The 12983-nt window shown below is 45.9% G+C and overlaps 6 annotated features.

The window, feature by feature from the left end:
* Positions 3378–6133: an enhancer, noted in NCBI's record as "-11 kb to -8 kb region". NCBI's record gives its function as "activates a minimal chicken beta-globin promoter by transgenesis in arcuate neurons {active_cell/tissue: arcuate neuron}" and the evidence as "EXISTENCE:transgenic organism evidence [ECO:0001131][PMID:15798195]".
* Positions 3505–4004: an enhancer, noted in NCBI's record as "H3K4me1 hESC enhancer chr2:25401929-25402428 (GRCh37/hg19 assembly coordinates)". NCBI's record gives its function as "activates a minimal SCP1, AML or CMV promoter by ChIP-STARR-seq in naive H9 embryonic stem cells {active_cell/tissue: H9 hESC(naive)}" and the evidence as "EXISTENCE:reporter gene assay evidence [ECO:0000049][PMID:30033119]".
* Positions 3832–4467: a conserved region, noted in NCBI's record as "conserved region; nPE1". NCBI's record gives the evidence for it as "COORDINATES:sequence alignment evidence [ECO:0000200][PMID:15798195]".
* Positions 3998–4151: a conserved region, noted in NCBI's record as "conserved region; nPE1core similar to MaLR retrotransposon". NCBI's record gives the evidence for it as "COORDINATES:sequence alignment evidence [ECO:0000200][PMID:21876128]".
* Positions 4005–4506: an enhancer, noted in NCBI's record as "H3K4me1 hESC enhancer chr2:25401427-25401928 (GRCh37/hg19 assembly coordinates)". NCBI's record gives its function as "activates a minimal SCP1, AML or CMV promoter by ChIP-STARR-seq in naive and primed H9 embryonic stem cells {active_cell/tissue: H9 hESC(naive and primed)}" and the evidence as "EXISTENCE:reporter gene assay evidence [ECO:0000049][PMID:30033119]".
* Positions 5530–5703: a conserved region, noted in NCBI's record as "conserved region; nPE2". NCBI's record gives the evidence for it as "COORDINATES:sequence alignment evidence [ECO:0000200][PMID:15798195]".

Below are 12983 nucleotides of genomic sequence, written 5' to 3'. Positions count from 1 at the left end.
GCAAGGATAATAATAGCCCTTCCCAAAAGTACCCCCTCATTGCTTGGGGACTGAAACTGCCTTTGGAAAACTAACAAATTAGTCACAAGATTAAAAATGATGGCTCAGGGGTCATGCAGCCAGAGGCCACAAGATTCCTAACCTCCCCAAATGCTCCTGTAGATAACACCACTATTGTAAAACCTAAGATTGGTGTTCAAGGTATTTTCAGATCCTGCGTTCTGATGAAACAGTTGATACCACGCAGACTGGTAAACTGGCTCAACTACTTTTGTGATCCCGCCCACAATTTCAATCCCTTATGAGTTTATTGGTTGGGTCTGGGAATGCAGACCCAACCAATCTGCATTCCTCATTCCCTAGCAGCTTGCCCACCAAATTATCCTTAAAAACCCTAGTCTCCACAGCTGGGTGTGGTGGCTCACACCTGTAATCCCAGCACTTTGGGAGGACGAGGCGGGCGGATCACCTGAGGTCATGAGTTCGAGACCAGCCTGACCAACATGGTGAAACCCATCTCTACTAAATACAAAAAATTTACCGGGCGTGGTGGCAGGCGCCTGTAATCCCAGCTACTTGGGAGGCTGAGGCAGGAGAATCGCTTGAACCCAGGAGGCGAAGGTTGCAATCAGCCGAGATTGCACCATTGCACTCCAGCCTGGGCAACAAGAGCAGAACTCTGTCTCAAAACAAAAACAAAAAAACCCTAGTCTCCAAATTTTGGGGGAGGCTGGTTTGAGTAATAACACACTATTTTCCTTCTGCTTCCTTCCTGTGATTATTAAACTATTTCTCTGTTGCAAAAACCTGCTATTCTCCGTGCATTGGCTTTTCTAGGCAACAGGCAAGATGAACCCATTTGGCAATTATAGTATCTTGCTTGGTAATCAGTGTGTAATAACACACATCATAATGCACAATGTGCATTGTGTGAACTAAGTTCACAGTTCAGCAAGAGTCGATCCACCAAGCAAGATACAGAACATTTCCATCACCCCAGAAAGTTCCTGGGACCTTTTCTAGTCACTTCCCATTTGAATAGCTTCCTTTTGCCTGTTCTCACACTTCATGAAAATGGAATCACAAGATATGTTGTCTTTTGTGTCTGGATTCTTTTATGCAACATAATGGTTTGAGATTCATTCATGGTGTCGCACATATCAGTAGCTCCTTTCTATTGCTGAGTAGTATTCCAGCCTATGAATATACCACAATTTGTTTATCCATTTTCCTCCAAAATCATCCTTTTTAAAATAACAGTTTTGAGGCCAGGCGCAGTGGCTCACGCCTGTAATCCCAGCACTTTGGGAGGCTGAGGCGGGCAGATCACCTGAGGTCAGGAGTTCGAAACCAGCCTGGGCAACATGGTGAAACCCCCGTCTCTACTAATAATACAAAAATCAGCCAAGCGTGGTGGCACTTGCCTGTAATCCCAGCTACTCAGGAGGCTGAGGTAGGAGAATTGCTTGAATCCTGGGAGGTGGAGGTTGCAGTGAGCCGAGATCGCGCCATTGCACTTCAGCCTGGAATGACAAGAGCAAAACTTCGTCTCAAAAATAATAATAATAATAATAACAGTTTTGAGATTTAATTCATACCCATACAATTGACCTATTTAAAGTATACGATAAAATGGCTTTTAGTATATTTACCAAACTGTGTAACTATCATCAATTTTAAAACATTGTCATCACTGCAAGAAAGAAACCCTGTACCCGTGTGCACTGCTTAAGTGACGGGTACACTAAAAACTCAGATTTCACCACTAAAGAACTCATCCATGTAACCAAAAACCATATGTACTTCAAAAACTATTAAAATAGGTTGGGGGCAGTGGCTCACGACTATAATCCCAGCATTTTGGGAGGCTTAGGCGGGAGGATCACTTGCGGTCAGGAGTTCGAGACCAGCCTGGCAACGTGGTGAAACCCCGTCTCTACTAAAAATACAAAATATTGCCGGTTTGGTGGCACATGCCTGTAATCACAGCTGCTTGGGAGGCTGAGGCTGGATAATTGCTTGAACCTGGGAGGTGTAGGTTACAGTGAGCCGAGATCATGCCACTGCACTCCAACCTGGGCGACAGAGTGAGACTCCATCTCAACAAACAAACAAACAAACAAAGCAAAAACTATTGAAACAAACAAAAAGGAAACCTGTATCCATTTGCAGCCACTCTTCATTTCCCATTGACACTCCCAACCCCTAGCAACCACTAATCTACTTCCTGGCTCTATGGATTTGCCTATTCTGGGTATTTCATATAAGTGGAATCATACAATATGTGAACTTTAGTGTCTGACTTTTTCCAATTAGCATCATGTTTTAAATATGCATCCATGTTGTAGTATATATCAGTATTTCATTTCTTTTTCTTTTTTTTTGTTTGTTTGTTTTTTTGTTTTTTTTTTTGAGACGGAGTTTTATTCTTGTTGCCCAGGCTGGAGTGCGATGGCATGATCTTGGCTCACTGCAACCTCTGCCTCCTGGGTTCAAGCGAGTCTCCTGCCTCAGCCTCCCAAGTAGCTGGGATTACAGGCATGCACCAACACGCCCGGCTAATTTTGTATTTTTAGTAGAGATGGGGTTTCTCCATGTTGGTCCGGCTGGTCTCAAACTCCCGACCTCAGGTGATCCACCCACCTCAGCCTCCCAAGGTGCTGGGATTACAGATGTGAGCCACCACACCCCGCCAGTATTTCATTTTTTTTTTTGTTGTTCTCAAATAATATTCCATTTTATGGATATATCACTTTTTATTTATCCATTCATCAGTAGGTAGACATTTGGGTTGCTACCACTTTTTGGCTCTTATGAATAATGCATCTGTGAGCATACAAATTTTATCAAAATGTGTGGAAAAATGTTTGAGTATATACCTAGGAAGGGAATTCCTGGGTCATATGGTAACTCTATGTTTAACATTTTGAGGAACTGCCAAACTCTTTGACAAAGTGGCATTATTTTACATTCCCATCAGCAGCAAAATACCCTTTCAAGAGTAAATAAATAAGTAGTGAGACCTTATTTATTATCTTGAAATGAAATTCATTGATAATATAACCTTCTCATGTTCATAATACATAGAAAAATAACTTCAACCTAAAGGTTGAACGATAATATAAAGGATAAATTAAAAGAACATAATTTATACATGTTTTTGTTTTTTGAGACAGAGTCTCACTCACTGTGTCACCCAGGCTGGAGTGCAGAGGCACAATCTTGGCTCACTGCAACTTCCGCCTCCCGGGTTCAAGAGATTCTCCTGCCTCAGCCTCCTGAGCAGCTGGGACTACAGGCACACACCACCACACTCTGCTAATTTTTTGTATTTTTAGTAGAGATGAGGTTTTGCCATGTTGGACAGGCTGGTCTCAAACTCCTGACCTCAAGCGATCCACCCACCTTGGCATCCCAAAGTTTTGGGATTATAGGTGTGAGCCACCATGCCCAGCGAATACATGTTTTTTGAAATGAGATGTTGAAGTCAGAGACTGGCCTTCTCAGGCGGATTAGACCTGGTCTGGAAGCATTTCCCCTAAGGGGTCTGCCAAAGGCTCCAGCCCCAGCCCCTCAATGGCACCAAGAACAGCTGCCTAGGGGGATGCTGGGAAAGGAATCACTTTCAACTGGACATAAAGGCTTTGGACAGCGTGTTAAAAACAAACCAAACTACCTTTCAAACCCATTTCAGGAGTCGTTGCACCCTTCCCATCACACACACACACACATGCACACACACATACACGTGCATGCACATGCACAGACACACACAGAGTCATGGGCTCTTTGAGCTGCTGCATAGCAGGTCACTGTGCACCAGCTCTGCCCAGCCTGGTGTCCCTCTCCTGGGGCAATGGGACTGAGGGCACAGTGGGGGCTCTCCGGGCCGCAGGTGGGCTGCCTGGATTCGCTGTCCTGGCTGCTCCATTCCTTTGAGCAGCAGGCATGGAAATGGAAGATGGGTACCTAACGGGGGCGGGGGCTGGAGAGGGAGACTGAGCTGAGTGCCTGTAAAAAGGCCACTTCAAGCCCCCTCCACGCAGCCATTGTTGGGTCTGGAGGAAGGAGGACCGCTCGGAAGCTTCTGAATGCCGCCCTGTGATGCACTCACTAATGGATGTGCATTAGTGGCGTCCTTCCTGGCCACCACGTCACTCTCCCTACCTCAACTGCTGGCTGGAGAACTCCGCATTCTTCTGGAAAAGTAGCAGTCATGCTCGAGCCCCTAACAAAGGCCTGTCCCCCACAAAAGGACCATTATGACCACCGCTGAGTCAGAATGGTGGCCGCTGGCACCTGAGCTCTGTCTGGAAAGAGCGGCAGCAGGGACGTCATCTAGCAGAGCCTGGTGTGTCTGTTATGTCCACAACATCTTCAGCAAAGACACTACTTCCAGGAAGTCTACTTGGATTGCAGAGGCGCAAGCCTTCATTGTGAAAAAAGGGCTTGGGATAAGGGAGTGGTTCTAAAAGAATACATGTGGCTCCACATGGCAATATACCCAGGTGTAATAAGCTCAGGGTAAGAGAGAACCTGCCATTGCTGATGCAGGACTGTGCACACAAACTTACAGGCTCTCTACTGGGGTGTCCCATGGAACTGGCTCTGTGTGAGGAGCGGCTGCAGAGGGCTCTTTGATCAGGGCTGGCTTTCCACAGGCCACTTGGACCCCATGGGTGGCTGCCTGCAGCAGGAGTGCTGGTAATTAGTGGCCCCATTAGTTTCCTCTGGGATTCAGAGTGAACAGAGCAGAGAACTGGCCTGCCCATGTGTGCAGACTGGAGCAGATTCTCAGAGAGAAACAGGACACGAGAAAGGCCCAAGAGACAGAAGGACAGAGCTTACCTCCTCAGCCCAGAGGACTCAGCTGTGCCCATTAGGGGCCACGTTCTGTAAGACTATTGTTTGTTTGTTTTTTAATCACAGAGCTTGACTCTAGATCTGAGCCTAGAATCATAGAATGACAGGCCTGAAACGGACCACATCCTCCCCGCCCCCATTGTTCAAATGAGGGGGCTGAGGCCTGGAGGTGGGGTGGGGGTGGGGGGAGTGACTGACCCAGGTCCCTGTGTCTGCTGGCCACAGAGCTGGGGCTAGAACCCAGGTCACCTCACCCCCTCCCACTGCTTCTTCCTCCACTCTATTTTTTTTTTTTTCTGAGGCAGGGTTTGGCTCTGTTGCCCAGGCTGAAGTGCAGTGGCATGATCATGGCTCACTGCAGCCTCCACCTCCCAGGTTCAAGTGATCCTCCCACCTCAGCCTCCTAAGGAGCTGGGACTACAGGCGTGTGCCACCATGCCCGGCTAATTTTTGTATGTGTGTGTATATACGTGTATATATATATATATATTTGTAGAAATGGGGTTCCACCATATTACCTAGGCCCTTCCTCCACTCTTGACTCTGCTTTGGACCCTGAGGGTGCTGACAACCTGCTCTAGGGAGGGGCATGGACTCTGGCCCTCCCCACTGTGCTCTGCGGCACCCAGACCATGCAGACCTTGGCCCAGGCTGCTGCACTAATGCGCGCATTAGTGGATAAAAGCAGTCTCAAGGGTCTCTTCACGAGGTCCCTTTGGCTGGAATAAAGCAAATTAAAACCCCATTCAAAGGTCAATTGAAATCTCTTTCATTCCAGTTCTCTGCACAAATTGATTCCTCTTTGCCCTTGAGGTCAAACCGAAGGCTGGTGAAGTAGCCCAGCTGCAGTGCTGCATGAGAGAAGCTCAATGAAAAGGCTGAGACTGGGGAGGGCGTGTTGCAGGGGTGAAGCGGGGCAGTGGGATCCGCCTGAATTGTAGGGCCATCTGGGGCACCAGTAACCCTCTCCTCTGCAGTGCTTCAGGCTTCAGGCCCTTTTCTGGAGGCAGCTCCCTGTCTGCCCTGCAAACCACATCAGGCTCCCCTCAGAGGGATGCTTAATTAGGGTTTCTATTGACAATTGTGGGTGCCAAGAGAAAATTTCCTTCCTTCACTCTGCCCTCTGAAGTTTTGTTGAAAATGAACTGCTAATAGACAGATTAATAGGGGAACAAGACATACAAATTAATTTCATGTGTATAGCATAGCAGAATGGTGGGAGAATGATTACCCAGTAACTCAATGAGGTCCAGATGCCTGCAGATATTTCTTGATAGGGGAAGGGAAAATGAGGGGCATAGGAGTAAATGATTTTCTGGGAAAGTGAATGCGCCCGAGGAACAATGGCCTGGGACAAAGTTCTTCTCTGTTCTTTGGGTAGGTGGTGTGAAGGTGAGAAGCAGAAAGTCATTGTGAACGCAGCCTGTCTTATTATGCAGGTAACCCCCCTAGGCTATCTCTTGGAGTTGCCCTCAGAAAAATGCAAGAAAAGTCTGTCTGGAGGCGGTGATGATCCGTCTCTTCTCAGGTGGTTAATCTTTCTTTCCTGGTTATTTGATGAGATTCCTATGAAGGGAGGCTTCAGGCAATTGTATTTCTTTTAGAAAGAAGTTTCCTTAGTCAGATATGGAAATGCCAAAGACAGTACCTTCTGGTGTTTTGGAAAAAATCAGAGAGACAGGGAGTGAGGGGAAGGTCAGGGCGAGATTTTGAAGGTTCTTCAAAGGAACTGAAGCTGCTTCTTTAGTTCCATATTTTGGGGTATAATTTTCTGAGCCCCAGTGCAATTTTAGCGGTAGTTAGGATTTCTTGAAAGTGCTCACGATTCTTGAATGCCCACATAAAGGGGAAGATACTGGGCTATTTCTCATTCAGACACAATGAAGAGGAGGCACTTCCCTGTTTCAGGTTCATGTGTCCTACAGAGGGAGTACGGAGATGTTACTGGAAAGGAATCCCAATCCGGACCCCAAAAGAGGGTCCTTGGATTTCACGCAAAAAAGAATTCTGGGCAAGTCCATAGATTAAAGTGAAAGCAAGTTTATTTATTAGGAAAGTAAAGGAATGAAAGAATGGCTACTCCATAGGCAGAGCGACCTGGAGGGCTGCTGGTTAACTTTTTTTTTTTTTTTCTGAGACAGAGTCTTACTCTGTTGCCCAGGCTGGAGTGCAGTGGCGTGATCTCAGCTCACTGCAACCTCCGTCTCCCAGGCTCAAGCAATTCTCTACCTCAGCCTCCCAAGTAGCTGGGATTACAGGCGTCTGCCACCACGCCCGGCTAATTTTTGTATTTTTAGTAGAGACAGAGTTTCACCATCTTGGACAGGCTGGTCTTGAACTCCTGACCTCGTGATCCACCTGCCACGACCTCCCAAAGTGCTGGGATTACAGGCTTGAGCCACCACGCCTGGCCTGGTTAACTATTTTTATGGTTATTTCTTGATGGTATGCTAAACAAGGGGTGGATTATTTATGTTTCCCCTTTTAGACCATATAGGGTGACTTCCTGACATTGCCATGGCATCTGTAAACTGTCATGGCGCTGGTGGGAGTGTAGCAGTGAGGACCAGAGGTCACTCTCTCAGTGGCCATCTTTGTTTTGGTGGGTTTTGGCCGGCTTCTTTACTGCAAACTGTTTTATCAGCAAGGTCTTTATAACCTGTATCTTGTGCCGACCTCCTATCTCATCCAATGACTTAGAATGCCTAACCATCTGGGAATGCAGCCCAGTAGGTCTCAGCCTCATTTTACCCAGTCCCTATTCAAGATGGAGTTGCTCTGGTTCAAACGCCTCTGACAAAGAGGGTTTTGGAGAATCATGAGTTTCTGCAAACTGAGGGTTAAGAGGGAGAGGGTCTCCCTTCCTCATTCATCCCCTCCTACCCTTGCTGTACAAATATTTTTCAAGCACCAACTCTCTACCAGGCACTGATTATGGGAGCTGTGCCCTTAGAGGCAACCGGCACCAGCTGAGCAGCCCAAGGGCCCCTCTAGACCAAACAACAGCAGGAATGAAGAGGCCCTGGCTGAGCCTAAGGAGTTCCGAGAAGGGACAATTGTTATTCCATGAGACAGGGATGGCAGCTGCCCCCAGCTTGTCCATGGAGACTATGGAGAGAGAATGAAGAAGGGCGTGCCAAGGTGGAGCTGGGGCTCCTCGTTCAGACCCTTAAGGCATGAATTGGTGCTTATTCCAGCAAAGTCCCCCACAGACATGAGGCAGCTTCATCCCTAAGTCTTCTCTTCTCCCAGGGTAATGTCCCCCATTGCCAGTCCCAATGCCTGGAGGCTGACAACGAGGCCACCCTCCTTGTACCTCCTTATCCCCTGCCCCATGTTGGGCTCTGCCACCCTGTCCTTGTTTCTGTCCTCTCAGTCATCAGCCTCCCCTGCACCTGCCCTTGTAACGCACTCACACCCTGGTGACATCTCTTTTCCAATTAAAACCTCAAAGGTGAAAAGCTGAGATGATGAGAGCAGCCCCAGCCCTACGTCTACAGCCACCTGGCACGCCCGCAGCCAGGTGCAGGTGCATCGCCCCGGCCCCAGGAGTCCTCACAAGCAGGGTCTCCCAACAAACCCATCAGCTACCCTGTCCAAAAGACCCTGTGTCTGCTCCTGTCTTACCTCCTTCCCTCCTTTCTTCCCTCCTTCCTTCTTTCATTTATTCCTTCCCTCCTTTCTTCCTTCCCTCCCTCCTTCCTTCTTGTCTTCCTTCCTTCTTTCCTTCCCTCCTCCCTTCTTTTATGTCTTCCTTCCCTCCCTTCCTTGCTTCTTCCTCCCTCTCTTTCTCCCTCCTTCCAACCTTGCCTTCTTTCCTTCCCTCCCTCCTTCTACTTCCTTCCTCCCTCTATCCCTCTCTCCCTCTCTCCCTTCCTTCCTTCCTTCCTTCCTTCCTTCCTTCCTTCCTTCCTTCCTCTTCCCTCCTCCCTTCTCACCAACACTCCCATAATATTAAAGTTAAGGGCTAGCAGTTGTACAGGACTAACTAGGGACCAGGCCCTGCTCTAAGATCTTTACATGAATTGCCTCCTTTAATCCATATGACAGATAGTGGTCGAGCTGGAGTATACAAACAAAAAGAAGCTTTTGAGCCCCTGAAATACCATAGGCAGGAAGCAAGCAAGAAAATTATTCAGGTGCAAATCTTGGCTATTATGGAAAAGGAAAGCTAACACAGAGAATAGACCAAGAGCCCAGAGGATGGAACCAAGAGCCCAGAGGATGGAACCAAGAGCTAAGGAGATTCATTCCGGGCAGTGGAACTGCCTTCTGAAGGAACTGGTCACGTGGTCACACGTGCCAGGCCAGATTTCAGAATTTCCTTTTTTCTCTTTTCTCTATTTCTTTCTTTCTTTCCTTTTTTTTTTTTTTTTGACAGAGGCTTGCTCTGTTGCCCAAGCTGGAGTGCAATGGCCTCACTGCAACCTCCGCCTCCCAGGCTTAAGCGATTCTCCTGCCTCAGCCTCCCAAATTGCTGGGATTACAGGTGCAAGCCACCATGTCTGGCTAATTTTTGTATTTTTAGTAGAGATGGGGTTTCACCATGTTGATCAGGCTGGTCTCGAACTCCTGACCTTGCGATCTGCCCGCCTTGGCCTCCCAAAGTGCTGGGATTACAGGCATGAGCCACCACGCCTGGCCCTTTCTGCCATCTTTATCCTTGATCCAACATTACCCTCCACCCACAATCACCATTCAGTTCATAGAGTTTTGTTTTGTTTTGTTTTGTTTTGAAACAGAGTCTCGCTCTTGTTGCCCAGGCTGGAGTGCAGTGGCATGATCTTGGCTCACTGTAACCTCTGACTTCCGGATTCAAGCAATTCTCCTGCCTCAGCTTCCTGAGTAGCTAGGACTACAGACATGCGCCACCATGCCTGGCTAATCTTTGTACTTTTAGTAGAGACGGGATTTCACCATGTTGGCCACAGTGGTCTGGAACTCCTGACCTCAGGTGATCCGCCTGCCTCGGCCTCCCAAAGTGCTGGGATTACAGGCGTGAGCCACTGTGCCCGGCTGAGTTGTGCTGTTTTTATGCCAGGATCAAATGGAGAAATGCACAAAAATAGTGAGGAGATTTAAAAAGCATACTTTTCTCAGTAACTAATAGAATAAGACGACAAATAGCAAGGATATAGGTAGAGAAAGGATATAGAATATTTGAGAATATACAGTCACAGAATACAGTGCAGTGAGACACTTCTTTTGGAGTGCACAGGAAGCCCTAATCAAAATGAGCCCTATGTTTATCTGTTAAGCAAGCCTCAAAAAATTTCGAAGGTCTGAAATCAAACAGAGCATATTCTCTGACTACAAGGGAATTAAGCAAAAAATTAGTTTAAAAACATGACTGGAAAATCCCCAAGGTTTAGAAGTTTTTCTTTTTTTTCTAAGTTGGTAATATGAATTGGAAGGGTTAGAGGTTAAGCAGAATATATTTGAATAACCTATAGGTCAAAGAAGACATCTCAATGAAAATAAAAAGATATTTTGAACAAATGGTAATTGAAATATGACATATCAAAAGTTGTGGGATGCATATAAAGCTGTACTTAGAAAGAAAATATAGCCATAAATACATATGTAAAAAAAGAATAAAGGAGCTGGGCACAGTGGCATGCATCTATAGTCCCAGCTACTAGAGAGACTGAAGTGGGAGGATCACTGGAGCCCAAGAGTTGAAGATGAGTCAAGGCAATATTAAAAAAAAAAAAAAAAAAAAGGAAAAAAATGGTTCAATATCAATTATCTAAGTAAAAGTATTTATTTAATGTCCAACTCATGAGTATAGGAAAAGAATAGCTAATTAAACCCAAAGATGTAGAAGGCACGATATAATAAGAGTAAAAATTTCAGAAATATAAAAAAGTATACATATAGTACAGAAAATTAACAGAACCAAAATGGATTATTAAAAAGACTAATAAAATGGATAACACCCTAAGAAAACTAATCAAGAGGCCAGGCACAGTGGCTCACGCCTGTAATCCCAGCACTTTGGGAGGCTGAGGCCGGCAGATCACCTGAGGTCAGGAGTTTGAGACCAGCCTGGCCAATATGGAGAAACCTCATCTCTACTAAAAATACAAAAAATAAGCCAGATGTGGTGGCACATCCCTGTAATCCCAGCTACTTGGGAGGCTGAGGCAGGAGAATTGCTTGAACCCGGGAGGCGGAGGTTGCAGTAAGCCGAGATCATGCCATTGCACTCCAGCCTGGGCAATAAGAGTGAAAGTCTGTCTCAAAAAGAAAAAAGAAAATGAATCAAGAAAAAAGAGAACACAAATAACCAATATCAGAGATGAAAAGGGCCAAAACCACAGATCCCAGATGCTTAAAATATATAATAAACAATTTTAAGCCAATAAATTAAAGAATTTAGATGAAATAGACAAATTCCTAGAAATACATATCTGACTCAAACTGACACATGAAGAAGTAGACAATTGAAATAGTGCCACTTAAGTAATTGAATTTGTAATGGTTTAAAACATTTTTCCTTCTTTTTTCCAGCTCCAGCTGAAAGGATTGATTCTGTAATTAAAAACTTCAATGAACAAACAATCTTAAAGATTTAGATGGCATCACTGGTGAATCATCCCAAACATTTAAGGACGAGATAACACCATTATACGCAAATTATTCTACTTAATTATAAAAAGGGGGAGGGAAGATGGATTTCCAACTTGTTTTATGAGAACAGCATAATTTTTTGATACTCAAATTAGACAAGAATTCCACAAGAAAGGAAAATTACAGGCCCATCTCATGAACATCAATGCAAATGTCTTAAATAAAATATTAGCAAATTGAGTCCAGTGCTTTCTGTATAAGGATAATACATCATAATCAAATTGGGTTTAATCTAAGAAGCCATGGTAGGTTTAACACCAAAAAATCAACAATGCAATAATTCACCACATTACTAGAATAAAGGTGAAAAATTATGTCATGTCAGACAATCAAAGGCACCTGTTCTAGGCTTTCAAAGAGGAGCTAGTGGTACAAGGATGCAAGGGCAGTGGTGACTCCTTTCTAGTGGCATTAGCTGAAGTGAGAATGGCAGCGTCCCATCCTGGGGACAGAAGTGACGTCTATGTCAGACGCCTGTGGTCTTGACATGCCCCTTGTGGCCCCTTGTGGTCTGTTTTTTTTTTCTCCACTGGATGTGATTTTGGCCATGGTTCCAGCCACACTGTGTCCCTGCCCATTTTTAGATCCTGGTCCCCCAACCTGCCCAGTGATTTTTTTTTTTTTTTAGATGGAGTCTTGCTGTGTCGCCAGGCTGGAGTGCAGTGGCGCGATCTCGGCTCACCGCAACCTCCGCCTCCCAGGTTCAAGCGATTCTCCTGCCTCAGCCACCCGAGTAGCTGGGACTACAGGTGTGCGCCACCACGCCCGGCTAATTTTTGTATTTTTAGTAGAGACGGGGTTTCGCCATCTTGGCCAGGAATGTCTCCATCTCTTGACCTCGTGATCTGCCCAACTCAGCCTCCCAGAGTGCTGGGATTACAGGCGTGAGCCACTGTGCCCCGCCTACCCAGTGATTCTAAATGCAGTTCAATGGCCTTTCAGTTCATGGAGGCCAAAGCAGGTTCTGCTGCATTAAATTAAGAAACTGGGCTGGGTGTGGTGGCTAACACCTGTAATCCCAGCACTTCAGGATACTGATGTGGATTACTTGAGCCCAGGAGCTTGAGACCAGCCTAGGCAACATAGTGAAACCCTGTCTCTACCAAAAACAAAAACAAAAACAAAACAAAAAACCAAAACCCAAAATTAGCTGGGCATGGTGGCATGCATCTGTGGTTCCAGGTACTCAGGAGGCTGAAGCATGAGGATCACTTGAGCCCAGGAGGTGGAGGCTGCAGTGAGCAGTGTTCACACTGCTGCATTCCAGCCTGGGCAACAGAGTGAGACCCTAATTCAAAAACAAACAAACAGAATGAGAGAGAGAGAGAAGAAAAGAAAGAAGGAACCCAGTTAAAGAAGTTGGGTCCATTTGGATTTTTCCTGGTTTGTTTTATCTGCTGCCACCAGCAGCCTCCTGAAGTTACAAAAATAACACAAAGTAAAATAAGGCAAAACCACCATCTGCTTGAAAGAGTTTACAAACCTGA

Source organism: Homo sapiens, chromosome 2 (genome assembly GCF_000001405.40).
Source record: "Homo sapiens chromosome 2, GRCh38.p14 Primary Assembly".
NCBI lineage: Eukaryota > Metazoa > Chordata > Mammalia > Primates > Hominidae > Homo > Homo sapiens.
Note: the sequence above shows the minus strand (reverse complement) of the source record. Positions and strands in the feature narration are given on the sequence as shown.